The sequence below is a fragment of the Homo sapiens genome, chromosome 6 (genome assembly GCF_000001405.40).
Source record: "Homo sapiens chromosome 6, GRCh38.p14 Primary Assembly".
NCBI classification, from domain to species: domain Eukaryota; kingdom Metazoa; phylum Chordata; class Mammalia; order Primates; family Hominidae; genus Homo; species Homo sapiens.
In genome coordinates this window covers 97,035,029-97,061,082 of record NC_000006.12, presented here as the reverse complement: position 1 = coordinate 97,061,082, position 26,054 = coordinate 97,035,029, and the positions used below count along the sequence as shown (strand labels likewise).

At 38.0% G+C, this 26,054-nt stretch overlaps 1 protein-coding gene across 25 annotated transcripts in view, besides 3 other annotated features; it reads right to left on the bottom strand.

Moving 5' to 3' along the window:
• KLHL32 (kelch like family member 32) overlaps nt 1–26,054 on the bottom strand; it is a 242,671-nt gene that overhangs the window by 79,671 nt on the left and 136,946 nt on the right. For 23 of the 25 annotated variants that reach the window (NR_136580.2, NR_104421.2, NR_136579.2 and 20 more), the window contains one exon: nt 19,484–19,591. The exons of the other annotated variants lie outside the window; for them this stretch is intronic. Coding sequence is in view for 16 of the 23 variants with exons in the window: in NM_001323258.2 (NP_001310187.1) it covers nt 19,484–19,591 (108 nt within the window). In the remaining 7 variants the exon portion in view is untranslated. The remainder of the gene's footprint in view (nt 1–19,483; nt 19,592–26,054) is intronic. 25 annotated transcript variants of the gene reach the window in all.
• Nucleotides 11,036–11,330: a silencer, noted in NCBI's record as "tiled region #4079; K562 Repressive DNase matched - State 3:PromF". NCBI's record gives its function as "represses a minimal TATA promoter and a strong SV40 promoter by Sharpr-MPRA in K562 cells {active_cell/tissue: K562}" and the evidence as "EXISTENCE:reporter gene assay evidence [ECO:0000049][PMID:27701403]".
• Nucleotides 11,075–11,134: a silencer, noted in NCBI's record as "silent region_17410". NCBI's record gives its function as "represses an Ori minimal core promoter by ATAC-STARR-seq in GM12878 lymphoblastoid cells {active_cell/tissue: GM12878}" and the evidence as "EXISTENCE:reporter gene assay evidence [ECO:0000049][PMID:35858748]".
• Nucleotides 11,315–11,374: an enhancer, noted in NCBI's record as "active region_24847". NCBI's record gives its function as "activates an Ori minimal core promoter by ATAC-STARR-seq in GM12878 lymphoblastoid cells {active_cell/tissue: GM12878}" and the evidence as "EXISTENCE:reporter gene assay evidence [ECO:0000049][PMID:35858748]".

The window sequence follows — 26,054 nt, the reverse complement described above, 5'->3', positions numbered from 1 at the left end:
AGGGATGTTGGACAGTGCTAGCAGAGAGGTCACCTCTAGTCTCACCTCACCAAGTAATGAGATGATCACATCTCATTACTTGGGTCTGGCCCAGGAACATCTCCTGCAATTTGTAGCAGGCAAGGTCATATGAATAAGGAGAGGGCCACGACTGATTCCCATTCCAAATGCTGAAACTCTACACTCATTTTGGTGGGGATAAGAACCGACCAGTGGCTGTATTTAGGGTGACACAGAATGGTGTGACAAAGTAATAGTGTAAAACCCACAAGTGCAGGAGAAGGGGATGGGTACCTGGTAGGAGAAATTATGTCAGAATTCAGTCATGAGGTGGCCCAATCACCCTCCTGGTAGGAGGCACTCTTGAATACTGTGTGCCAACATGTCCTCTGGTCACCAATCCAAGCAGGGTTGGTAGCAGACAGGAGAATTTGCATGATCTCCAATGAAGACCCTCTAAACTGCAATAAGACTGGGACTCCTGGTCTCCAGGCAGAATATGGGGCCAGAATCCGGTGAAAGAGGAGGAGAATGGGACCTGAGGTGAGATTCTGTATAGAGCATGATGACGTGGGCCACCTCAGTCAGTGCCCACACCTCACATGGGGGCTCTGGGAGGGTGGAGCTGGGACTGAGCGGTGGGAGTAGGGACACCCCACAGTCCCCAGGGCATCCCTGCCCCTCCTTCTTCAGCTCATCCTCCTGGATCATCAGATGTCCACTCTCTCAATTCTGTCTTCTTTTTCTCTTTATTTTCCCTCTCCCTTATACCTAGCCTCTTGGATTGGTGGCTGGTAGGGACTGTCTTTAACAGCCATGGTAAGTCTCAGTGTGACCTTTTTTTTTCTCCTGCCTGTGATCAAGTGAGTTGGCATCTTCAGAAAATTTTGTATCTTCAGATCTTCAAAGCTATCTTCTTCATTTCTTGCATAAGGAGATTTTTTAATTACCTGCTTCTTGGTCTATGTGTACAGTGGACTGAAGGATTTGAGCATGTTAAAATCAGACAACTAAGGTCTTTAGTAAACACACATACCATGTGTGCACATGAACAACACGCTTTTGCAAGCAAAACAAGCGCTTGTACAACTGCAAATTAGAGTGGTCTAATACCATTTATGAGAATAAATGATTACATTTCCTCCCTTCTTTATAGTTTGTTTCTTTGGTATTTTTTTTTTCCTGTATAGTATTACAGAATGGCAAATTATCAGAATCTTGAATTTATAATCATCAAATGAACTGGATACAACAGCATAAATAGCTGTTAAATGATCATATATTCAACACACATAAAATGTTTTGCATAAAGTTATTTATGACAGAATTCTCACAGATGGAACATGAAACACAAGATCTATCTAGCTATGAGAAATTTCTACCAATCTAGTTTTAGTTTCAAAACCACTGCACTAAGGACTTTTTATCCACAAGGTGGCAGCCATTTAAAGGAAAAGAATTTTCTAAATTGACTCATGCACTGCACATCTATATCTGACATCTGAAGTTTATTTTTAAGAAAGAAAAACATAGTTCAGGTAAGGATAATAAAACACATGAATTCCAGTTTCTAAATGTTGTGATCATATTGGGAAATGTTCATAAATATGCCTGTTGAAGTGCTCCATCTGAGCAATACTGGCTAGAATTCAGTAGTTCTCTATGAATCAGAGAATTCAAACTTTTGAGGCTTGTATTTGGAAAACCTCACCATGTAGCCCCAACCTGCTGTTAAAAACTTTTCTCCAGTTTTATGACCTTCTGGTCCCTTTGCTAAAGCCAGTAATCTACTAGTCTCCACACTCAGGCAATACCTTGTTCTCCATCTTCAATGTCCTCCTCATTCCTTTAATTTCCATATGTCAAAATCCTACTCATTTCAAGATCCAACTCTAAATCCACTCCTTATACAAAGCTTGGCAAGATCTCTCCCCACCCCTACCTCATCCTGGGTCTCCACAGACATCTGGTGAACTAATAAGCCCATGTGTTCTAGGTCACGCTGTCTGCTTTCAAATCCTGGCTCCTACACTTGCTGACAGAATCAACTTGGGAGAACAGCTCAACTCCAGGTGCCTCAGTGTTCTTATTTGTACAGTGAAAATAATGATGTCTACCTCAAAAACTGTTTTAAGGACCAAAAGAATGCTTGTGTATCATTACAATTGTGTGTGTCTATATGTAACAAAGCAGCTTAAACAAATATAAGGGTTACTTTTCCAATAACATTTGGATTAGGCCACTTAGAGTGGCAACCAGCCTCCTTGTATTTTCCTGCTTGGCAAATCTCAGGCTGTGGTTTCATGGTCTCAAATTGGCTGCCATACCACCAGGCATTATGTCTACATTCAAAGCAGAAAGAAAGGAGAGGTCAAAGAACAAAAAACATTTGCCAGCTGAGTCTGGCATTGTTTATCAGAAAAACAATAGATTTCTTACAAACACTGTTACAGAGACTTCCATTTACATCTCATTGGCTGGGTGGCTACACATAGCTGTAAAAGAGCCTGGGAAATTAAATTTTTATGGCTAGATGCACCATAGTCCCAAATCAAATTAGAGTTCTATATAAAGAAAAAAGAGGAAATGAATATTGGTAGGCAATCAGGGCATTAGCCATGGGACTTAGCACATATATATATGAGGAAAACTACAAAACTCTGATGAGAGAAATCAAAGAAAAACTAAATAAATGGAAAGATGGCCCATGTCTGTGGATAAAAAGGACTCCATATTGTCAAGATGTCAGTTCTTCCCAACTCAATTTATAGATTCAATGTAATCTTATTCAAAATCCCACAGTTATTTTTTGTGTATTAACAAACAGATTCTAAAGCTTATATGAAGAAGCAAAAGACCCAAAATAGCCAACACGATGTTGAAGGAGAACAAAGTTGGAGGACTGACAATACCCGCTTCAAGACTAAAAAAAACTACAGTTATCAAGACAGTGTGACATTGGCAAAAGAAGAGAGAAACAGATCAATGGAACAGAACAGAGAGCTCAGAAACAGACTCACATAAATATGGTCAATGAAAGAGCATAGATAATATTATAGATAATATAATAATAATGGATAAAAGATAGTCTTTTCAAGAATGGGGCTAGATTAATTGGACACTCACATACAAAAATTGAACCTGGACACAGCTCTCAAATCCTTCACAAAAATAAACTCAAAACGGATTACAGATGTAGATGTAAAATGCAAAACTAGAAAACTCTTACAAGGTAACATAGGAGAAGATCTAGATAACTTTGGGTATGACAATGACTCTTTAGATACAGCACCAAAAACATGGTCCATGAAAGACATAATTGACAACTTGGACTTTTTTAAAATTAAAAACTTCTGCTCCACAAAATACACTATTAGGAAATTGAGAAGACAAGCCATAGGCTAAGAGAAAATATTTGCAACAGATACATCTGCTAAAGGAATGTTATCCAAAATATCAAAAAACAAGATCTTAACACTCAACAATGAAAAAAATGAACCATCTGATTTTTTGAAATGGGGGCGGGAGGGGGGTGTAAAAGATCTGAGCGGATACCTCACCAAAGAAGACAGGTGGCAAATAAGCATATAAAAAGATACTCGGCCGGGCGCGGTGGCTCACGCCTGTAATCCCAGCACTTTGGGAGGCCGAGACGGGCGGATCACGAGGTCAGGAGATCGAGACCATCCTGGCTAACACAGTGAAACCCCGTCTCTACTAAAAATACAAAAATTAGCCGGGCATGGTGGCGCGTGCCTGTAGTCCCAGCTACACAGGAGGCTGAGGCAGGAGAATGGCGTGAACCCGGGAGGCGGAGCTTGCAGTGAGTCGAGATCGCGCCACTGCACTCCAGCCTGGGCGACAGAGCGAAACTCCGTCTCAAAAAAAAAAAAAAAAAAAAAAAAAAAAAGATACTCACATAGGAAAACTGCATTTTTTGTACATATTTTGTTAGATTTACGCCTGTTTAATTTTTGGGGTATTAATTTCTAAAAATAGTTTTAACTTTTTAAAACAGTCCCCCAAACCCAAAAGATGAATAATATGTTGTGATACATGAAAATTATATGAAATTCAAATTTAAGTATAAATAGAGTTTTATTATAACATAGCTATGCTTATTCATTTACATATTTGTCTCTGGCAGTTTTCATGCTACAACAGCTAAGTTGAGTAGTTGCGAAATAAACTTTATTTACTTTTTAAAATAGAGACAGGGTCTTGCTATGTTGCCCAGCCTGGTGTCGAGCTCCGGGGCTCAAACGATCTTTCTGCTTTGGCCTCCCAAAGTGCTGAGACTATGGTCGTGACCCACTGCACCCAGCTGTGACAGAAACTTTATATGGCCTGAATTATTTACTGAATTATTTTTGGCTCCTCACAAAAAAAGTTTGCTGATCCTTGGTCTAGAGTATAGGTAGGGGCTGGGAGTCAATAGCATAAGATAATAGCAAGTTATTTGTCAATACCAAATAACTTGGGTCTGGATGACATCACCAAGGAAGCTAGTTGGATTAAACAGGAGGGTTCTGAAGCAGGAAGGATTTGAAGCCTACAGAGTGGGGAGGAGCAAGCAAAGCCACCTGGAAAGGAGTGACGGGAAGGCTGGTGGTGGCACAGAATAAAAGCCCACAGTGAGCAGTGTTACAAAGGCCAAGAGAGAATAGGCAGGCTGGTGGGCCGGGCCTGGTGGCTCACGTTTGTAATCCCAGCACTTTGGGAGGCCAAGGCGGGAGGATCACGAGGTCAGGAGATCAAGACCATCCTGGCTAACATGGTGAAACCCCGACTCTACTAAAAATACAAAAAATTAGCCGGGCGTGGTGGCGGGCGCCTGTAGTCCCAGCTACTAGGGAGGCTGAGGCAGGAGAATGGCGTGAACCCGGGAAGCGGAGCTTCCAGTGAGCCGAGATCGTGCCACTGCACTCCAGCCTGGGTGACAGAGCGAGACTTCATCTCAAAAAAAAAAAAAAAAAGAAAAAAAAAGAAAAAAAAAGAAAAGGGAGGCTGGCTATGCTGCACGAAGCTGTGAGGTCACATATGACAGTATTTAATTAGATTTGGCAATATTTGTGACTGCCAAGAACAGTTTTAGTGGAATGATGAAGATAAAAGCCTCCAGACTTGGAGTGGAAAAGTGAGTGATAAATGAGTGAAAGTGAGGAAAAATAACTTTATGTAACACTTTTCATAAGCTCTGCTGTGAGAAGAGTCAGAGAAATAAGTGGTAGCTCAAGAGGAATATAGAAATAAGAAGGGGTTTTTTTTTTTTTTTTTTTTTTTTTTAGACAGGTTCTCAGTCTGTTACCTCGGCTGGGGTGCAGGGGCACGATATCGGCCCACTGCAACCTCCACCTCCCAGGTTCAAGCAATTCTTTCACGTCAACCTCTCAACTAGCTGGGAGTACAGGCACATGTCACCACACCTGGTTAATTTTTGTATTTTTAGTAGAGACAGAGTTTCACCATGTTGGCCAGGATGGTCTTGAATTCCTGGCCTCAAGTAACCCACCTGCGTTGGCCTCCCAAAGTGCTGGGATTACAGGCATGAGCCACCACACCTGGCAAGAAAAGGATTCTTAAAGGTGAGCAATAGAATGCAGTAGAGGAGAAACTGATGGCAGAAGAGACAGCAGCAGGATAACAGGAGTGATATTGGACAGAGTCGGAGGGAGTGGATCTGGACCCTACGTGGGGGAGATTAGTCTCTGACAGTTCAGGGATACCCCTCCCACTGTAAAAGAGGGATATACCCAGAATAAGTTCAGAAACAGGGAGGGTTGAGAATTTGATGGTAAGATGATGAAGATCTTCCTTTCTGTTTCTATTTTCTCAATGGACGGTGACTTTTCCTTATGATATGTGTACTGGAGGTAGGTTAGTGAGGGGAATGTCTCTAAAAAGAGAAGAGAGAGGGTGAGAAACTCATCAAGAAGAGGAGGAAAGCAAATTTACTAGGGAAACAGATTAACATTGCCTGGCATTGGGTATCTGTCTGAGATTTGGGGTCATGGATTTGAAGTGAAAACAGTGACTTTCTCCAGTGCCAACCAGCAGAATTGATTCTTACAGTTGGATTCAACAAATAATTCTCCAAAGATGCCACAAGCTGGAATCAATTTTTATCCTCTCTTATATTTTTTTTAGACAGGATCTCACTCTGTTGCCCAGGCTGGGGCGCAGTGGCACGATATCAGCCCAATGCATCCTCTGCCTCCCGGGTTCAAGCAATTCTTCCACCTCAACCTCCCGAATAGCCGGGAGTACAGGCTGTATTCTTTGGGCTGTGCCAAGTTGTTCCTACTTTGACAGATACATGATACATAGAGATGAATGGCTATCATTAGTTTTTAAGGTGCTATATCTGTCTATTCAATTACTATAGAATAAATGCCTATTATTTTCTTCCTGCAAAGTATAATGCAAATTACTGTCTTATTTTTCAGGCAGTCCTTGACAAAGAACTACAACTCAATTATCCATTCTCCTACCTGAATTAGTGCAACTTTTGAAGCATCAAACATACTCAGGTATTTTTCTATGTTATATATGCAAATAATTCAGATCCCTGCTAATCCATTTCTTAAAAATGCAATGGTGTGTTGATCTGGCATTTCCAATCACAGTTTGACCTACTGTGAGAAAGCACCAATGTACATTTTCTCATCAGTGCATCCCTAACAACTAGTAAGTCCTTAGCATATAGTAGGTGTTCATTAAGTATTTGCTGAATTAATGAATCTAAATTTGAGAATAAAATGTAAATGGATGGTTTTTATGAAGTATACAAAAATAAAATATTCACAAGTTAACTTAGAGTATTCAATACATTCAAATTATGCCTTCATTTGAATGTTCTCATCATTATTTTACTCAAATGGAATATAACTTCCAATATAAATCATCTTAAAAGTACTGTTTAGCAAATTATTTATCCTGATATTAATTACAATTTGACCATATATTTTTGCTATCATGTTGCTTTCTTTTTAAAAAACTTAAGTTAGAATTGTAAAACTCCCATATACTGCTGCTTCATACAAATACTGAATACTTCCAGCAGAGGGCTCAAGAATTCTATTTTAAGGAAAAAAGAATTCCTTATTATGAATATTTAAGGAAAAGTGAAAGAAAAGAAAGAAAATAAGATGTTTTGTAGTCTATGCATACATTATGTGTAGTCTATGTATTTTGTAGTGTATGTGTAGTATATGCACAGACTACAAAATATCTATGTATGAATGCATAGTATATAAATAAAAATGCATAGTATATAAATAAAAGGCATAGTACACAATAAATTTATTTAATACATTTATTATATACTATGCATATAAATGCATAGTATATAAATTAAAAAAAACAAATGTACTTATATCTTACCTAATTCCAGAAAAGAAGTTGAAGTAAATTACAATCACAAAATCTTTATAAAATCACATAGACATATGGGCATCTGAAGAAAATGGGCATCCGAAGAAAGCAGAAAGATAACATATAACATGTAAGTAAGTGAGAATTTGAAGTGAAAATATTTTTTTACTTTTAGTCTTATTAATAATTTTATAAAAATTTGGGTTGTGTTTTTTCATTTTCAAAGATAAAGTAATTTCTTTTTATAGAATTTGCAGTATCCTTATATTTAGTGCTGAAACAAGGAGGAAAAAAATTTGGGAAATGTGTGGAATGATTTATTTATGGAGCAAGCTGGGAATTTGGAGGCACTTCATTTTCATAGGCAGAGCTAATGGGCTGTAGCATTCATGCCTACAACTAACATTAAGATCCCTCTGGGATTCCAAAAATGTTCAGAAAGAGGTCTCAAATCTTTTTATTCAGTCTAGTTACTTATTATCTTCTCTGCCTCATTTCAAAAAGGATCTGAGGCATCAATACAAGCATTTAAATATTAAGAATAAAAATAACTCAAAGCAAGAGAAAAGAGGAAACAATATGAGGTCAGGAGAGAATGTGTGTGCGTGTGTGTGTGTGTGTGTGTATCCATCCTCATAACTATTATAAGTGGGTCACAATGTGGCTCTATGCTTCCTAGCATCAAAACTGAAAAAGAAATGTAACCTAATGCAAGATTAAAAGGTGAAAATACTAAGGAGATTTCTAGATTCTCCAGACCCTGAGATGTAATGGAAATTTCCCAGCAGACATTAAGAGGGTTATTGAATGATTTGCTTGATAATACTTCTAATAATACCATCAGAAGTTTATATTATAGAACATTGCATAAAAAGTGAAGGTTAATAAAGAGATTATTTAAGACCCAGACATCCAGTTTTCTGGTTTTCTGGCTTGATCTAGGTATAAAATTTAAAATATTTAAGAAGTCCTTCTCAATCGAGTCAATACTACCTTCTCAGGGAAATTCGGAAATTTGCGGGGATATTTCTGGTCCTCCCAGGAGGGTGGGCAATATTGGCCTTTATTGGGCAGTGGCTGGGAGGCTAGATGCCAGGCAACACACAGGGCGGTCACCAACCATGAGGACTGACCTACAGCCTGCACGCCGGAATGCCCTGCTGGGTGTGCAAAGAAGTGAAACATTTGTTTACACAGATTGAAGCCCCGAACCTAACTCTGTTTTACATATAAACACATTCTTTGATGTTCTGTGTCAGAATACATTGGCTTTTCCAGGAATGCTACGCCCATAAAAACAAAGAGAAGACTGTTACTTTGTTTTGTTTAGAATTGTATAATACCAAGAGTTGTTCATTATTTTGGAAAATCATGTCACATGCCACCTGGGATCTGTCCTTGTGGTATCTGAGTTGACAGTACAACATTCATTCACCAGTCTGCATCTGCATGTGCATCTGCTGTCCCAATCATGGTGATTCTCCCTATGGGGGCAGACAGGAGACTACTTCATTATGTCTTTTGGAAGGGTTGTACCCCAGCATGTACACACTGAAATATAAAGGATTTTAAACACAAACTTCTTTCGTTTGTTCTTTTACATATGGTTAGGAAATTCTATTGGTGCTTAGAGTAATTTGTGTAAGTATGTTATATTGTCTAGGAATTTCATTTTAGGATAGTAAAGGTGGCCTTTTTATATTAAGGACTGACAGTTGAGGTTGAGAACCACCAAGCCAGATGAATAGACTGCATATCTTCTGGGGATCCTTTATGTGTAAAATTTCTCCTAAATGAACTTCTAGTAAGAGTTGTCCAGAAAACAGGATAAGGCTGGAGCACAATTGTTCTTTTTTTCTCAATAAGAGAAAAAGTTCATGTGCTTTAAAAATCCATCAATAGGCTGATATCTTCTTATGAAATTTAAGGAACTAACCAAGACTCCCCACTATATAAATGATTAACTTCCCTCCACTAAGATGATTTGAGGGAGCACCTAAAGGAAGGATCGAAATTTCTTTAGGAAATGATTCTGAGTGCAGTCAACACTCAGAAATTCACATGATCAAGAAGGAACAAAGTTGTAATGATTTCTGTGCTGTTTACCCACCATGGCAAAGTAAAAATCTCAGATGCACACCATGGATTATGAAATATGTAGCAATGGAACTTTCTGTTGAAACATTCAGAAGAAACAGGTGCACAGAAGTGCAAAACCCACTGAGTTAACTAGGAGGGTTGATCTACTGTTTGGAGTTACTGGATACTCGCCATTTCTACTTTGGAGAATGTCAGAGAAAGACTGTTTATTGCCCCACCTATGACAATAAAACCATTATCAAGAGCAAAAAGGAAATATTTCTTTTTCTATTCCCAATACTGGCAATGGGGTAGGGTGGGAGGTGCTGAGAGTTGGAAGGAGAATGGAGGAAAGAACAACAAATCCAGCTCATTTGAATGGATTTTTACACAAGGGAGATATGGTTAAAACACAGAAGGGGCCACACTCATCCTTGTCATCTATATTATCTAAGATATCTGGAGACCCTCACAGTGTTATCAGTGTGCATGATCTGTACATACGACCTCAGGCACCTTAGCCCACAGTGGGTTCCTCAGCACAGAATTGGTGCCAGAAAAGATTATAAATGCTGTAAGAATATTGTTCAAACACATGTGTTTTTTGTTTGTTTGTTTGTTTGTTTGAGATGGAGTTTTGCTCTTGTTGCCCAGGCTGGAGTGCAGTGGCATGATCTCGGCTCACTGCAGCCTCCACTTCCCGAGTTCAAGCGGTTCTCCTGCCTCAGCCTCCTGAGTAGCTGGGATTACAGATGTCCACCGCCACACCTGGCTATTTTTTTTATTTTTAGTAGAGATGGGGTTTTGCCATGTTGGCCAGGCTGGTCTCAAACTCCTGACCACAGGTGATCTGCCCACCTCGGCCTCCCAAAGTGCTGGGATTACAGGCATGAGCCACTGCGTCCAGCCCACATTGTGTTTTCATTAGGTGACTGAGTTTAATAATATTCCAAAGGAAAATGTCTGTGCCTGAAATGTGACTATTACTCAAGTAGAATGCTAGATTAATGTAATAGAGTCTGCCCCTATTTTTGTTATTTCACTCCGGATGGCTTTCAAGCCCCACCTTTCCCTATTTTCCTGCTTGCCTTACATCTGAGCAAAGGTTTAAAAAAGCCTGAAAACTCTCTCCAAAATACACAAGCCCTACCTGCGGGTAGCCCTTGCCCCTGCCCCACAATAAAAGCCAAAGCCAGCCATACCTCCATGCTCTCTCAAGCCATTTTTGCACCTGCTTAGGAGTCACCCTGCTCTCTCCAGAAAGCCTCATTATGTGAGGAATAAACCTTTTCACATCCTGTTGGGGTGTGTGGCATTATCAGTCTCAACATCCAAATCAGATTTTGGGTTGGGGGGTTGCGCATTCTATTTCTGCCAAGTGACAGCAAGAAAATGAAGACATAAATTTATAAATTATTTGGGAAAACAGGAATACATTTTTCAAAAATCAAAACATACTGAATTGGAAAGCTGATCTTAGAAGGGTGGCCACAGTTAAACTTCTTTGCACAGAGACATTTTAGACATGAATCTGCTGAACGAATGGCTTTATGATTCTTGCAGCACAAACTAGACTCTGAGCACATTCTGACTGGATAGCACAGAGAAATTTAATAAAGGAGAACAGACTGGCGTGAAGCAAAGACTGTCACTTAGAATTGGCCCTGCCCTACAGGTGGGAGGCCCTCCTACATGACCTGACTGTGAATCAGCTGTTCTCTGTGAGAAAGAGACAGGTCTTGGGACCAACAAAGCTGTTCATATTTTATGACTTCACTGTCAAACAGGAAGCAGACTAATCTGCTTGTTTGTTTCAATAATGCACTGATAAAAGAGAAAATCTACCCCAAGGCAAATAACTAGTTTCAAAAGATCTAAAAAAGCAAAAAAGTAACTGATGAAATTCAAACTTCCTCTTTTGTTTCACACTTCTCAAACTTTCCATGTCAACACTCCAGTTATGGACTCTGGCATAGCTCTGACAAGAAGGTAAGGAGAAATGTCACTTTCTGCAAAATTCAAAATAAAGTAGTTCCCCCCCGCCCCCCGTTATCGACGGTTTCGCTTTCTACGGTTTCAGTTACCCATGGTAAACTGCAGTCCAAAAACATTAAATAGAAAATTCTAGAAATAAACGATTCATGAGTTTTAAATTATGCACCATTCTGAGTGGCATGATGCAATCTCCCACCATCCCACTCTGTCCTACCAAGACATGAATCATTCCTTTGTTCAGCATATCCTCATTGTAGATGCTCTCTGCCTGTTAGTAACCTAGTAGCCCTCTGGGTTATCAGACCACTGTGGCAGTATCTCAGTGCTTGTGTTTATTTTACTTAATAATGGCCCCAAGGTACAAGAGAAGTGATGCTGGTGTATTGTTATAATTGTTCTACTTTATTGTTAGTAATTGTTGTTAATCTTATTGTGCCTAATTTATAAACTAAATTTTATGACAGGTGTGTATGGATAGGAAAAAAACATAGTATATATAGGGTTTGGTACTTATCTGAGGTTTCAGGCATCCACTGGGGTCTTGGAATATAGCCCCAGCAGGTAAGGAAGGGATGCTATATTCTTCCTTAAAATGTGGATTTCACTGTGTACCCTCCAGAGTGCAAGGCACAGTGGAGGTGCCTCAGGGCCTTTTACTTGCCAGGTAGGTACTGCCAGCTAAAGAAAGGATTGGGAAGCTAAAATATTTAAACCACTGAATAGTCTTAACACTACTCCTGAGAGAAACATTTTAAAAATTTTCTCCCATGTTTGCTCCATGTGCTACTATTTAGCTCAATTGGGTTATATTTATAAGTAAATCCGACAGAGACTTTCTCCATATAAATGGATACTTCTACCCCTGAAGGGATGGTCCATGAGAAAGCAGATCCAATTAAGATTCCTGTCACTCTGCTGCCTGGCCTGATGCTCAGGTCTCCCGAGAAAAGTATTCTGCTGTGGGGAATACAGTTTCAATGATCATCAAAATGTAATGCACAGTGTTTGCATTATCAGGGCTATATAAAAAAAGTCATGTGAACTTATTAGGGAACCAAATGACAATCAAAAAAACAAAGTTACTATGGTGAGACCTCTGACTGAATGAATATTTTTAAAGTAATTTTTCCCTTAACAGAGTATGATAGTTTTCTTGATTGCCAAAAGGCTTCAAAATAAGAACAGTAATGGTGATACAATATTTCCTTGTAAAGATCGTATTGAAGCATTCTCTGGGTCAGAGAAATGTATTTAGGGTGACTATCCCCCAAGAGATGGGTTCTTCTATGATTTTCAGAAGCCAAGGGCTGGAGTTACTGAATAATAAAGAGAAATGCAAGGGAACACAGATCCCAAGGCATCCTTCTTCAGAAGCCCGGATATGACATAATTGGTTCACAGCTGACAGAGTTAGCAGTGCCTGGAAGTGGAGAATTGTAAAGGGGACTATAAACGTCACTATCATTTGGTGCAGAGTTTATCTCTCCACTGGGTTTCTGGAACCTCTTCATCAGTCTCCAAGGGACAGAAAAGGAGGAGAGCTCTCCGGAAATTAAGAGGAAGCTAACTAGGTTTCAACCCTTCCTCCACTACATGTAAGGTATTTATCACAGTGCTTGGCATATAGTGTATATTCCTTGACATCATCATAGCCAGAGTGTTAAACAATAAACTTTATTGTGGTTCGCAGTCCTATTTGCTTCCATTTCGGTCCTAAGGTACTCAAATTTCTAAAGGCTTATCCCAAGGCCTTTGGTGCTGGAAGTTCTACTTTCCAAGCAGGGCTCTTCTTTTTATAAAAGGGTCTTGATGTTTTCTGCTCTTCACTGTCAGGCTGGGTTTTTTGGTTTTTGCTTTTTGATTTTCTAAAAACACCTGCCTGCTCCTGGGTGGCTGACCTCTTGTCTAGTTTGGACTGGGATCCATCTCCCAGGCAACATTTCCATCAGAGTATTTCTCTTCCTTCTTCCTCATACCTCTTCTACTCAGGACTGGTCTGAAACATGAAAAAACTTGGCCACAGTTTCAAAGTGAGGAGAGTAAGGGAGGCCAGAGTAACAGGATGGGCCCTCTTGCCCACCAGTGTAACTGGAGTTTGTATTTTCTTAGATTCACTTTGTCCTTTTCTCTCTAAGGCAGATCTGCCCAGAGTCAGTTTATGTCACCATTTGCTTCCAACCTTGCTCCCAAAACAAGCCCTGCAGAGCAAGAGCAGCCTGGCCTCTATGCCCTCCACCATTGGTTCTGCTGTAATAATGGCCTCCATGCATGGCTGTGCAAGGACACCCATGAAGACTGCACTGCATCCCAAGGTCTATTCAAGCAGTGTCCCAAACACAGTGTGCCCAGAAGAAGGGCATATTTCTCATTAGTGCAAAGGCAGAGTGAATGCTTATGCAGCCCTGTTTGCTACTTGATAGGAAATGCATGCATTTTCAGAATATGTATTAATATTAAGAGGAAAATTTGCTTTTTCTTTAAAATTTCCTGGATGAAATCTGTAGGCCAATTTTAAGAAGGCTACACTTTAGAGCAATGTGTAGGAGGAACACGCACACATCTTGTTACACTTAGAGGCATTCATTCATCACTCCCACTCTATACTTCCAATTTCTCTCCAAGACAGCAACAATTTTCAGACACTTAAAATACGTACATTTCATACTATGCATATTACAACTGACTAAACATATAATCAACTGTTAGAAATAGCTATAGGCAGATACACTCGATGTTAACCCTGAATTTTTACAAATCTATATACATATCACGGATAAAGACTACATGTCAGTGAATGTCCCTAATACTAAATAACAGTTAAGAAACTGAAGAATTATGCTTTCACTCACATTCCTATGCTCCAACCTTTTTGCTTAATGTTAATGTCGACTCCATAGTAAGAGAAAGCAGCTGTTCAACAATCTCAAGTAAACTGCAACTTCATTCTTTTTGCCATCAGCTGTGTCCATGTCTCAAAGGGAAAATAGATTTATTACAAATTAAAGATGTTTCAGAACCAAACTTTCTTGGATGTTGTTCAAGAAAGGCTGTAGAGGTATCAACTTCTACTCTGTGGCAAAGAGTGATCACATAGGGAGAACAAGTCTAAGCCCTCATGGACTGACTTGAAAAGGCACAGTTTCCAAGTTTAGAAAACCACCAAGATAGTGGACTCTGTAAATGCCCAAACACTTTTCTGCCTCCTTCAACAAAGTATAACAAAGTATAACTTAATCTTTTCTTAATGACAGATTATAATAAAAAACGAACAACAGACTTGAAATTAGTAGGACTCGGTTTGACTAATTGGGCCAAAATATATGAGAGAATGATCTTAGTCAATTCACTGCATTTCCCTGGGCCTGTCATCTTTCAAGTGGGGTCACAGCATTCCTTAGAGCTGTTTTAAAGATTAGTTTAAACAGCACGCATAAAGTGCCTAGTGCTGTCCCCTGGCTTTTTCAGAAGGTGCTCCAGGAAATGTCAGCCCCCTTCCTGTCCTCTCAGCACACAATTTGAACAGATGAATTACTGCTGTATGCCACAGACTGTCATATGCCTCTGTGGATGCACAGTCAGAATAAGTCTCTGGTGTTTGGACAGAATAATTGCAACCCCAGATCTGGCCCTAGGACTTGCTTTTCTTTCTTTCTTTTTAAAGGCACTTACACCAGATATATTTTCATCTCATTTGGCTTTCTTTTTCTCATAAAAGTAGAATTTAAGCACCTAAGGCATATGACTCCTGGGCAATGGGATATGGCTGCCCTTCTGCAAATATCTTCCTGCTTTCCAAGTAGGTTTCTTCACCTTCAAAAAGTCAGCTCCCTTTCTGCTATCTTCACTTCAGTTCACATTTCATAGATCCTTTGTGTGACAGGAATTACACGCACACATGCGTGCACACACACACGCACATACACATCAACTTAGCCATTCTGAAGGAAATCACAAAGCAATCAAGCAAGCAATAAGGCAGCCACATATATTTGCATGTGTATTTTAACTCAGCCTTCCCAGGAATTTGTGCTCTTGAGTTTCCTAATACTTCAAACATGCTTTACAGACCATTGCCTCTAAGCTTAAACCATTTAGTTGCTAATGCAGCTGAGTGCAGATATTATTTACTTGGGTAGTTTTACAAAAAAAAAATTACTATTTCATCCCATGGCACACCTGTGAAGTAAGAGCTATGGGTTTTCAATCTTACTCTAGAGATGGGCAAATACAGATGTGACTGCATGTAATTCAAGTATAAAAAGAGAAATAATAAGACAGAATTTAGAGATGGTATCTTTCTTCACATCTGTAAACCAAAAAACACAAAATACATGATTTACTCACTTCACTAGGAATATATTTTGGCAACTCTGTGAATGATAATGGCCTGCCTTAATTTCCTAAGTCTTGAAATTTGGCTGGGCTAATCTTGAATTTGTGATCCATCACCTTTCTTTCTCCTGTTATACTTTCTACTTGATTAATGGCTTATTTCCTTTATACTTACTATTTTCTTCTAGCTGCCAGAGTTGCCTCAATTATTCTAAGACACATATCTTAAATTCTACTAACTCCAGAAAAGAGAATAAATGATATCATACGTTTTAATAAGCCTCTAAAGAAAACTTAGTGAAAAATAGAGACTACAAAGACAATAGAAAAGATTAATGAAAGTGAAACTTCATTATTTGAAAAGATAAAATCAACAAAACTTTAGCCAGACTAAGAAAAAAAACGAGAAGATTCAAATAAATAAAATCAGAAATGAAAGAGAAGATATTACAACAGATATCATAGACATACAAAGGACCATAAGAGACTACTATGAATAATTATACACCAAAAAATTGGATAATCTAGAAGAAATGGATGAAGTCCTAGAAACATACAACCTAGCAAGACTGAATAAAAAAGTAATAAAAAATCTGAACAGACCAATAGCAAGTAAGGAGATTATATCAATACTATTAATAAAAAATATCTCCCATTAAAGAAAAATCTAGGACCTTATAGCATCACAGCAGAATTCTACCAAACATTTAAAGAAGAAAGAATATCAATCTCTCTTAAAACTCTTTCAGAAAATTAAAGAAGGAATACTTTCAAATTCATTTTATGAGACTAGCATTATTCTGATACCAAAGCCAGACAAAGACACTACAAGAAAAGAAAATTCCAGGCCAATATCCATGATGAACATGGCTGCAAAACTCCTCAAGAAAATACTAGCAAACTACATTCAACAGCACAGTGAATGATTAAAAGAATCATTCACTATGATCAAGGGAGATTTATCCCTGGGATGCAATGATGATTCAACATATGCAAATATTAATAAATAAATGCAATATACCATATTAACAGAATGACAGATAACAACCATACGATCATCTGAATAGATTCAGAAAAAGCATTTGACAAAATTCAGCATCCTATCATGATAAAAACTCTCAACAAGTTAGGCATAGAAAGAATGTATATCAATACAATAAAGGCCATATCTGAAAAGCCCAGAGTTAACATTATACTTAGTGGTGAAAAGTTGAAAGCTCCTCCTTTAAGATCAGAAACAAGACAAGTATGCCCATTTTGACCACTTCTATTCAACATAGTACTGGAAGTTCTAGCCAGAGAAATTAGACAAGAAAAAAAAAATACAACTGAGAACTCGAATAGTTAAAGCAATCTTGTGCAAAAAGAACAAAGCTAGAGCCATCACAAGAAGATGAGAAAATAAATAACCCAATCAAAAAGCTGGCAAAGGACCTAATAGACACTTCTCAAAAGAAGACATACAGATGGCCAACAGATATATGAAAAAAAATTCATCATCATTAGTCATCAGGGAAATGCAAATTAAAACTATGGTGAGATATCGCCTCACCCCTACTATAAAAAAAAGACAATCGATAACAAGTATTGATGAGGGTGTGGAGAAAAACCTTTGTGCACTGTTAGTGGGAATATAAATTAATACACCCATTATGTTAAACAGTATGGAGGTTCTTCAAAAAAGTAAAAATAAAATTACCATATGAACCAGCAATTCCACTTCTGGGTAATAGCCAAAGGAACTGAAATTAGTATGCTATAGAGACATCTGCCTACCCATGTTCACTGCAGCATTATTCGCAGTAACTAAGATATGAATGCAACCTAGTTGTCCATCATCAGATGAATAAAGAAAAGATGGTATGTATACACAACATACTGCTATTTAGCTTTAAGAAGCAGATAAATCCTGTCATTTGCAATGACATGGATGAACTTTGAGGACATTATGTTAAGTGAAATAAGCAAGGCACAGAAAGACAAATACTTCATGATCTCACTTATATGCTGAATCTAAAAAAGTTGAACTCATAGAAGTAGCAAGTAGAATGATGGTTACCAAAGGCTAGGGGAGGGTGTTTTCTTAGTCCATTTGGAGTTGTTATAAAGGAATACCTGACATTGGGTAACTTATATAAGAAAGAGGTTTATTTGGCTTATGGTTCTGCAGGCTAAACAAGAAACATAGCTCCAGCATCTGCTTCTGGTGAGGGTTTCAGGCTGTTTCCACTCATGGCAGAGGAGAAGCGGAGCTGGCATGTGCCAAGATCACATAGTAAGAGAGGAAGCACGAGAGTGGGAAGGAGGTGCCAGCCTCTTTTTAATAAATAGCTTTTTCAGGAATTAACAGTGAGAACTCACTCACACCCTGAGGGAGAGCATCAGCCTTTTCACGAAGAATCAATCAACATGACCCCAACATCCACCTACAGACCCGACCTCCAACACTGGGGATCAAATTTCAACATGAGATTTGGAGAGGACAAACATCCAAACTGTAGCAGGGGTGGATGGACTAATGGGAGATGTTGATCAAAGGGTATATAGTTTCAGTTAGACAGCAGGAATAAGCTGTAGTGATCTACTTCACAGAATGGTAACTATAATAAATAATAATGCATTGTATAGTTCAACATTGCTAGAAGAGTGCATTTTAAATGTTTTCACCACAAAAAAAATAGGTAGGTAGGTGAGGTGATAAATTTGTTAATTAGCCTGATTTAATCATTCCACATTGTAAACATATATCAGAACATCACATTTACATCACATAAGTATATACAATTATTATTTGCTAATTAAGAATAAAATTAAACAAAAATAAAATTCAGTAGAAAAATGAGCTCCCACACATTCTTCAAGACACAAATACCACCCTATCTGTAAAATTGTGTACTGATAGCCACACCTGACCACATGCATCCTTCTCCCACTCTGTTTTGTATTCTGCTTCTGTTATAACTCCAATACCAGTGAGGATTTTAATCATGTATTTGCCTGTCTTTCTCTTACTAGGATGTGAGCATCTCAAGAGAAGACACTTTCATTTTAGCATAGAAGATACTAAATCCACGTTGGATGAAATGTTGTTAAAGAACAACAATTTATAAAAGGGGAGCTAAACATCCAGTCTGTATTTGAATTGATTTATTTGAGTAGTTCTCAAATGTAAATGGATATCCTCTGATGTCCTATAAATCCTATAACAACTTTGGTCATTAATGTATTAGGATTTCAAACCATCACAATCTACTAATCTAAATGCCTTCAATTCTGACTCTGAGATATGTGGAGGACATGGTACCAAGACGTTGGACATAAATTTTTGGGGATCTAAATTTTTTGTCTTGTTTTTAAGGCAATAAAGCCATGATTGAGTCACCGAGCTTCAGTGATAACAATGAGAATCCATTATCTTGCAAACTCTTTCCCTTACGATAGTTCTTTAAGATATTCAAAAAATTACACCAGCAAGCACTGAGTTAAATTTAAAATACTATGTTCACTGGATCATATTAAAAAATCAAATTGCTTTACTTACCTTTCCATAACTTTAGTCATAAAATTAAGAGGATGTGAATCTTATTTTTAACATCAAAATGAGTAACAAGAACAATAACTAAATCTCATACCTCAAGGATAATCTCCTTTGGTTAGATGTAGTTGAAATGTTAAACTTTACAGATCACATTTAATACCATACCTGTCCTGTGTATGCAAACTCCAGAGCCTGCTTTAAGCCAAGGCTGGTCACACCGTGCAAATTAACCTCATCAGCTCCACTTTCCACCATACAAAGACTGAACATTGCCTGAGGTGAGGAAAGGGAGAAAGACAGTTATGAGACTTTGACAGCAAGGGAGCAAGACAAAATTCTAGAGAGACTAGGGGAAAAAAAAGTTTTACAAATTAATAATTGATTTTGATTTTTGAAATGCTTCTAGAAAGTGTCATTCACACAAACCACTGCAAATCATTTTGATGTCTGAACAGTTGCAATAACAACACACACAGGATGGCATTCCTCACCATATACAGTACTTCTATATGTAATACACAGTCTCATTTTGAGGTGATAGTATTTAGGCCCACCGAACGCTTTCTCTTGGTCCTGGATTCTCATTGCTACCAAGTTATATGCAGCAATGCCAAACATCCTGCCCAATAGGACATGAAAAGCCTTCATCTTCTGACTTCTCTGCTTTTTTCTGCCTCAGTCCAATGAAACAGCTAGTTCCTCTCATCTGCCATTGTATTAGTTCATTTTCATATGCTATAAAGAACTGCCTGAGACTAGGTGACTTATAAAGGAAAGAGGTTTAATTGACTCACAGTTCAGAATGACTGGGGAGGCCTCAGGAAACTTACAATAATGGTGGAAGGCGAAGGCGAAGGTGAAGGCGAAGCAAGGCACCTTTTTCACAAGGCAGCAGAAAGGAGAAGTGCCGAGGGAAGGGGAAGAGCCCTTTATAAAACCATCAGATCTTGTGAGAACTCACTCACTATCATGAGAACAGCATGGGGGAAATCGCCCCCATGATCCAATTACCCTCCATCTGGTCTCTCCCTTGACATGTGGGGATTATAGGGACTATGGGGATTACAATTTAAGATGAGATTCGGGTGGGGATACAAAGCCATGTATCACACACTCCGTTTCAGTTGTTCTCAAAGTGTAGCCCTTGGACCAGCGACATCAGGATCACCTGGGAACGTGTCTGAGTACAGACTCTCAGGGCCCCAATGCAGATTTACTGAAACTGATACTCCAAGCAGGGCCCAGCAATCTGTGCTGTAATAGGCCCTCCAGGTGACTCTCATGCCCACTTGAATTTGAGAACCACTCAGCTATTCAGTGCAAGTGAATTTGCCCCCAACCAATTCTCCAAATGGCCAATTTACTGCAAATCAGTATGTCAAATGAAAATTTGAAATTAAAAAGACAAAAACTTGACAAATTAAAACAAATGCATTTTAAAAGGAAAAAAAAAATACAACCCCATGCTAATTTGTGCACCTTTAATCTTTGACTTAAGAAATATAAAGAGAATTCAATTTTGTTTACTGATAATGAGAGAAGTTTTGTGGGAACTGTTCCCTGAGATTCTGCAGTTTAGCTAACTTTATAGTCATAAAAAACAAAACCAAAAAAACCTCACTATGCTATGTGGTATTTAGTTCATGCTGAATTTTTTTAATTTGAAAAATGTGATTTTTTTTTTACTTTTGCCAATGTATCAATATTCATCTTTTAGCAATTTTATTTATTTATTTAAATTTTATCAATGCCTAAGGAATGTACATATTTCAGGGGTACATATGATAATTTAATATAGTCTTAATTTTTAATTGCCAAATCAGTGTATTTGAGATATCTATCACCTTAAAATATCTTTTCTTTATGCTTAAAACATTCAAATTATTCTCTTCGAGCGATTTTCTTTTCTTTCTTTGTTTTTTGTTTGTTTGTTTGTTTGTTTTTTGAGATGGAGTCTTACTCTGTCACCCAGGCTGGAGTGCAGTGGCACAATCTCAGCTCACTGCAACCTTTGCCTCCCAGGTTCAAGTGATTCTCCTACCTCAGCTTCCCGAGTAGCTGGGACTATAGGTGCCCGCCACCACTCCTGGCTAATTTTTGTATTTTTAGTAGAGATGGGGTTTCACCATATTGGCCAGGCTGGTCTTGAACTCCTGACCTTGTGATCCGCCTGCCTCAGCCTCCCAAAGTGCTGGGATTACAGGCGTGAACCACTGCGCCCGGCTGTCTTCTAGCTATTTTCAAGTGTACAATAGATTACTGTAAACTATAGTCACTCTACTGATCTAACACTAGCTCTTATTTCTTCTATTAAACTGTATATTTGCACTCATTATTCAATATCCCCATCATCCTCCCCCTCCCTACGACCCTTCCCAGCCTACTGGGTAGGGTAACCACCAATCTACTCTATGTCTTCATGAGATTCACTTTTTTTAGCTCTCACATATGAGTGACAACTTAACAATATTTGTCTTTTTGTGCTAGGCTTAGTTCACTTAACATAATGACCTCTAATTCCATCCACATTGCTGCAAATGACAGGATTTCATTTTTTTATGGCTAAATAATATTTCTTTGGGTATATATACCACATTTTCTTTGTCCATTCATTCACTGATGAGCACTTAGTTAATTCCATTTTCTTTTTCTTTTTTTCTTTTTTTTTTTTTTTTGAGACAGAGTCTTGCTCTGCCACCCAGGCTGGAGTGCAGTGGCATGATCTCAGCTCACTGCAACCTCCGCCTCCTGGGTCCAAGCAATTCTCCTTCCTCAGCCTCCTGAGTAGCTGGGGCTACAGGCACGTGCCACCATACCCAGCTAATTTTTGTATTTTTAGTAGAGCGGGGTTTCACCATGTTGGCCATGCTGGTCTCGAACTCCTGACCTCAAGTGATCCACCTGCCTCAGCCTCCCAAAGTGCTGGAGTGCTGGGATTACAGGTGTGAGCTACTGCACCCAGCCCAATTCTAAATTTTGACTATTGTGAACAGTGCTACAATAAACATGGGAGTGCAGATATACTGATTTCCTTTCCTTTGGAGATATATATAGATATATAGATATATTTATATATATACTGATTTCCCTTCTTTTGAATATATACTCAGTAGTAAAATTGCTGAGTCATATGCTAGCTACATTTTTAGTTTCTTGAGGAACCTCCATACCATTCTCCATAGTGGCTGTACTAATTTATTCCCGTCAACAGTGTACTAGGGTTCCCCTTTCTCCATATCATTGCCAGAATCTGTTATTGCCTCTCTTTTTGATAAAAGCCATTTTAACTGGGGTGAGGTATTTCAGTGTAGTTTTGATTTGCATCTTCTGATGCTCAGTGACCTTCAGCATTTTTTTAAATATATCTATTGGACATCTGTATATCTTCTTTTAAGAAATATCTATTTTTGCCCATTTTTAAATTGGATTTTTTTTTTTTGCTAGTGAACTGTTTGAGTTTCTTATATATTCTGGTTATCAATCCCTTGTCAGATGGTAGTTTACAAATATTTGTCCCCATTCTGTGGGTTTGCTCTACACTTTGTTGATTGTTTCCTTTGCTGTGTAGAAGCTTTTTAGCTTGATGAAATTCCATTTGTCTATTTTTGCTTTAGTTGCCTGTGTTTTTGGGGTCTTAATCCCAAAAAGCCTTTGCCCAGTCCAATGTCCTGGAGCATTTCCCCAATATTGTCTTCTAGTTATTTCATAGTTGGGGCCTTAGATTTAAGTCTTTAATACATTTGGATCTGATTTTTGTGTATGGTGAGAGATAAGGGTGTAGTTTCATTCTTCTGCATATAGTTATGCAATTTTCCCAACACCATGTATTAAAAAGACTGGCCTTTCCCCATTGTATGTTCTTGGCACCTTTGCAAAGATGAGTTGTCTGTAAATGTGTGGACTTATATTTGGGTTCCCTATTCTATTCCATTGATCTATGTGTCTGTTTTTATGCCAGTACCAGGCTAATTTAGTTACTATAGCTTTGTAGTACATTGTGATATCTGATAGTGTAATGTCTTTGTTCTTTTTGCTCAGGGTGGCTTTGGTTATTTGGGGTTTTTGTGGTTCCATTTATATTTAAGATTTTTTTCTATTTCTGTGAAGAATGTCATTGAAAATTTGATATGGATTGCATTGAATCTGTAAACTACTTTGGATAGTATTGTTATTTTAGCAGCATTAATTATTCCTATCCATGAATACGGAGTATCTTTCCCTTTTTTTGGCATCATCTTCTTTCATCAGTGTTTTATAGTTTTCCTTGTATAGATATTTTACTTCTTTGGTTAAATTGATTCCTAGGTATTTTATATTCTTTGTACTATTGAACTAATAGGATTTTATTTTAACAAATGTTATTTTTTTATCCTCACAAGTCTATACATTTTAAATTAATATGTATAAGATGGACAATATAAACTGATGACCCATTATTCCTTGTAGAGATCTTCATTTCCATCTCACTGCATTAGAGAGTTTTATGTTTTCATAATGAAAAGGATTATTTTTGAGAGCTTAATTTATAGTTAAACCTTTCACTGTTAGAAACACTAAATTATTGCTCTCTTGCCATTTAAGAAATTTTCTAAAATATATTTTAAATACAATTTGAAAAAATAAAATAATATTCAAAATATCTTAAAGCTATTGGGAGTATTTAACATATAATATATTCAATTATATTTGATATATTAAAAAGCTAACATTCATAATGTACTTAACTTTCAGAAATTTACTTTATCATAAATTTTAAAAATTGAACATTTTTTAGAACTGAGGATGTTCCACATAGTACAGCTTAGTGCCAACAGAAATTGCCTTGACCACTATATCCCCCCATAGGGGAAAAGAGCAGGAGGATTCCTACAGTCTTTGCTGCTAAAGATCCCCAGTCTTTACCAACACAAATCCCAGCTGACAGAGATGCCTGGAGCCCATGCCTTGCATCCCCTGGAGCTGGAGGGGGCCACTCTGGCACCCTGCACCCGGTACGGCTTCACATGAGCCCACACCTGGGTGTGATGTCACTTGTCTTACACCTGCACCAGGACCTGGCACCCCCATGCACCATGACAGTGTCACACAATCCCCAAAACCAGTGCCCCTGCACATTCCTCACAACTTGCACTGGACCCAGAACTACCACACAGCCCACCCATCATCACACCTCAGGTGATTATTTAAGAACCACCACACACCCCACCCATCATCACACCTCAGGTATCATCACATCTCAGGTGAAAGTCTTCCCCACCAAAGCCAGTCTGTAATATCTGAAAGATGTAACTGCTCCTTCAAATGCTCAGACACCAATGCAAGGCTACAAGGAACATGAAATGTCAGGGAAACATAACACCACTAAAGGAATATGATAATTTCCAGTAATGATCCCAAAGAAATGGGGACCTATGAATTGCCTGACAAAATTATTGTTTTAAGAAATTATCATTGAACACATATAGACAACTCAATAATATCAGGAAAGTAATACATAAACAAAAGGGAAAGTTAGAGAAATGTAAATTTTATGTAATACATAAATGAAAGGGAAAGTTAGAGAAATGTAAACCACAAAAATGAAGCAAACAAATTCTGAAGCTGAAGAACACAATAAATGAAATAAAAAAATGCGACAGAGAACTTCAATACCAGACTCGATCAAGCAGAGGAAAGAATTAGTAAACTTGAATACTGGTCGTTTAAAATTATCCAGTCAGAGGACAAAAAAGAAAAAAGAATAAAAAGGAGTAAAGAAAGCCTATGGATTTTATGGAACAATATCAAGTAAACCGATATAGATTATGAAAGCTTAATAAAGAGAAGAGAAATAGAAAGGAGAAGAAAGATTATTGAAAAGGAATAATTACCAAAAACATTCTAAATCAGGGAAGGAAGTGGACATCCAGATTGATTAACCCCAAAGAATCCTAAATAAGTTGAATACAAAGAGATCTGCACCAGGATACATTATAATTAAATTTCAAAAGTTAAAGACAGAGAATTTTGAAAGAAGCAAAAGAAAAGTGACTTGTCATGTATAAGGGAACCACCTCCATAAGACATCAGTGGATTTTTTTTTAGTAGAAATGTTGCAGGCCAGAAGAGAGTGGGACGACACATTCAAAATACTGAAAGAAAAAAACTGCCAAGTATACAATATCTGGCAAAACTATCCTTTAAAAATAAATGAAAGAGAAAGTCTTTCCCAGGGAAACAAAAACTGAGAGAGTTTGTCACTCCTAGACCTATTTTACACAAAATGGCTAAGGGGGTTCTTCAAATTGAAAACAAAAACATGCTAAACAGTAACGTGAAAGCATAAGAAAACATAAATCTCACTGGCAAAATTAAATATACAGACAAATATATAATAATGTAACACTGTAATGGTGGTGTGTAAGTTACTTTTACCCCAACATTTAAAAGATAAAAGACCAAAATTTGTTGATGGATACACAATATAAAAAGAATTAAACTCTGACTACAAAAACACAAAGTTTGGGGGAGGTGGTAAAAGTGTGGAATTTCTGTGTGCAGTTAAGTTGTTATGAACTTAAAATAGACCATTGTAACTACAAGACATTTTATGCCAGCCTTGAGGTAACCACACAGAAAAAAACTTATAATAGATATACAAAAGATAAATAGAGAAGAATCAAGGCAAATACTACAAAAATAATCAGATAACAAAGGAAGATGGCAAGAGAAGACGAGAGACCGCTTTTATTCAACT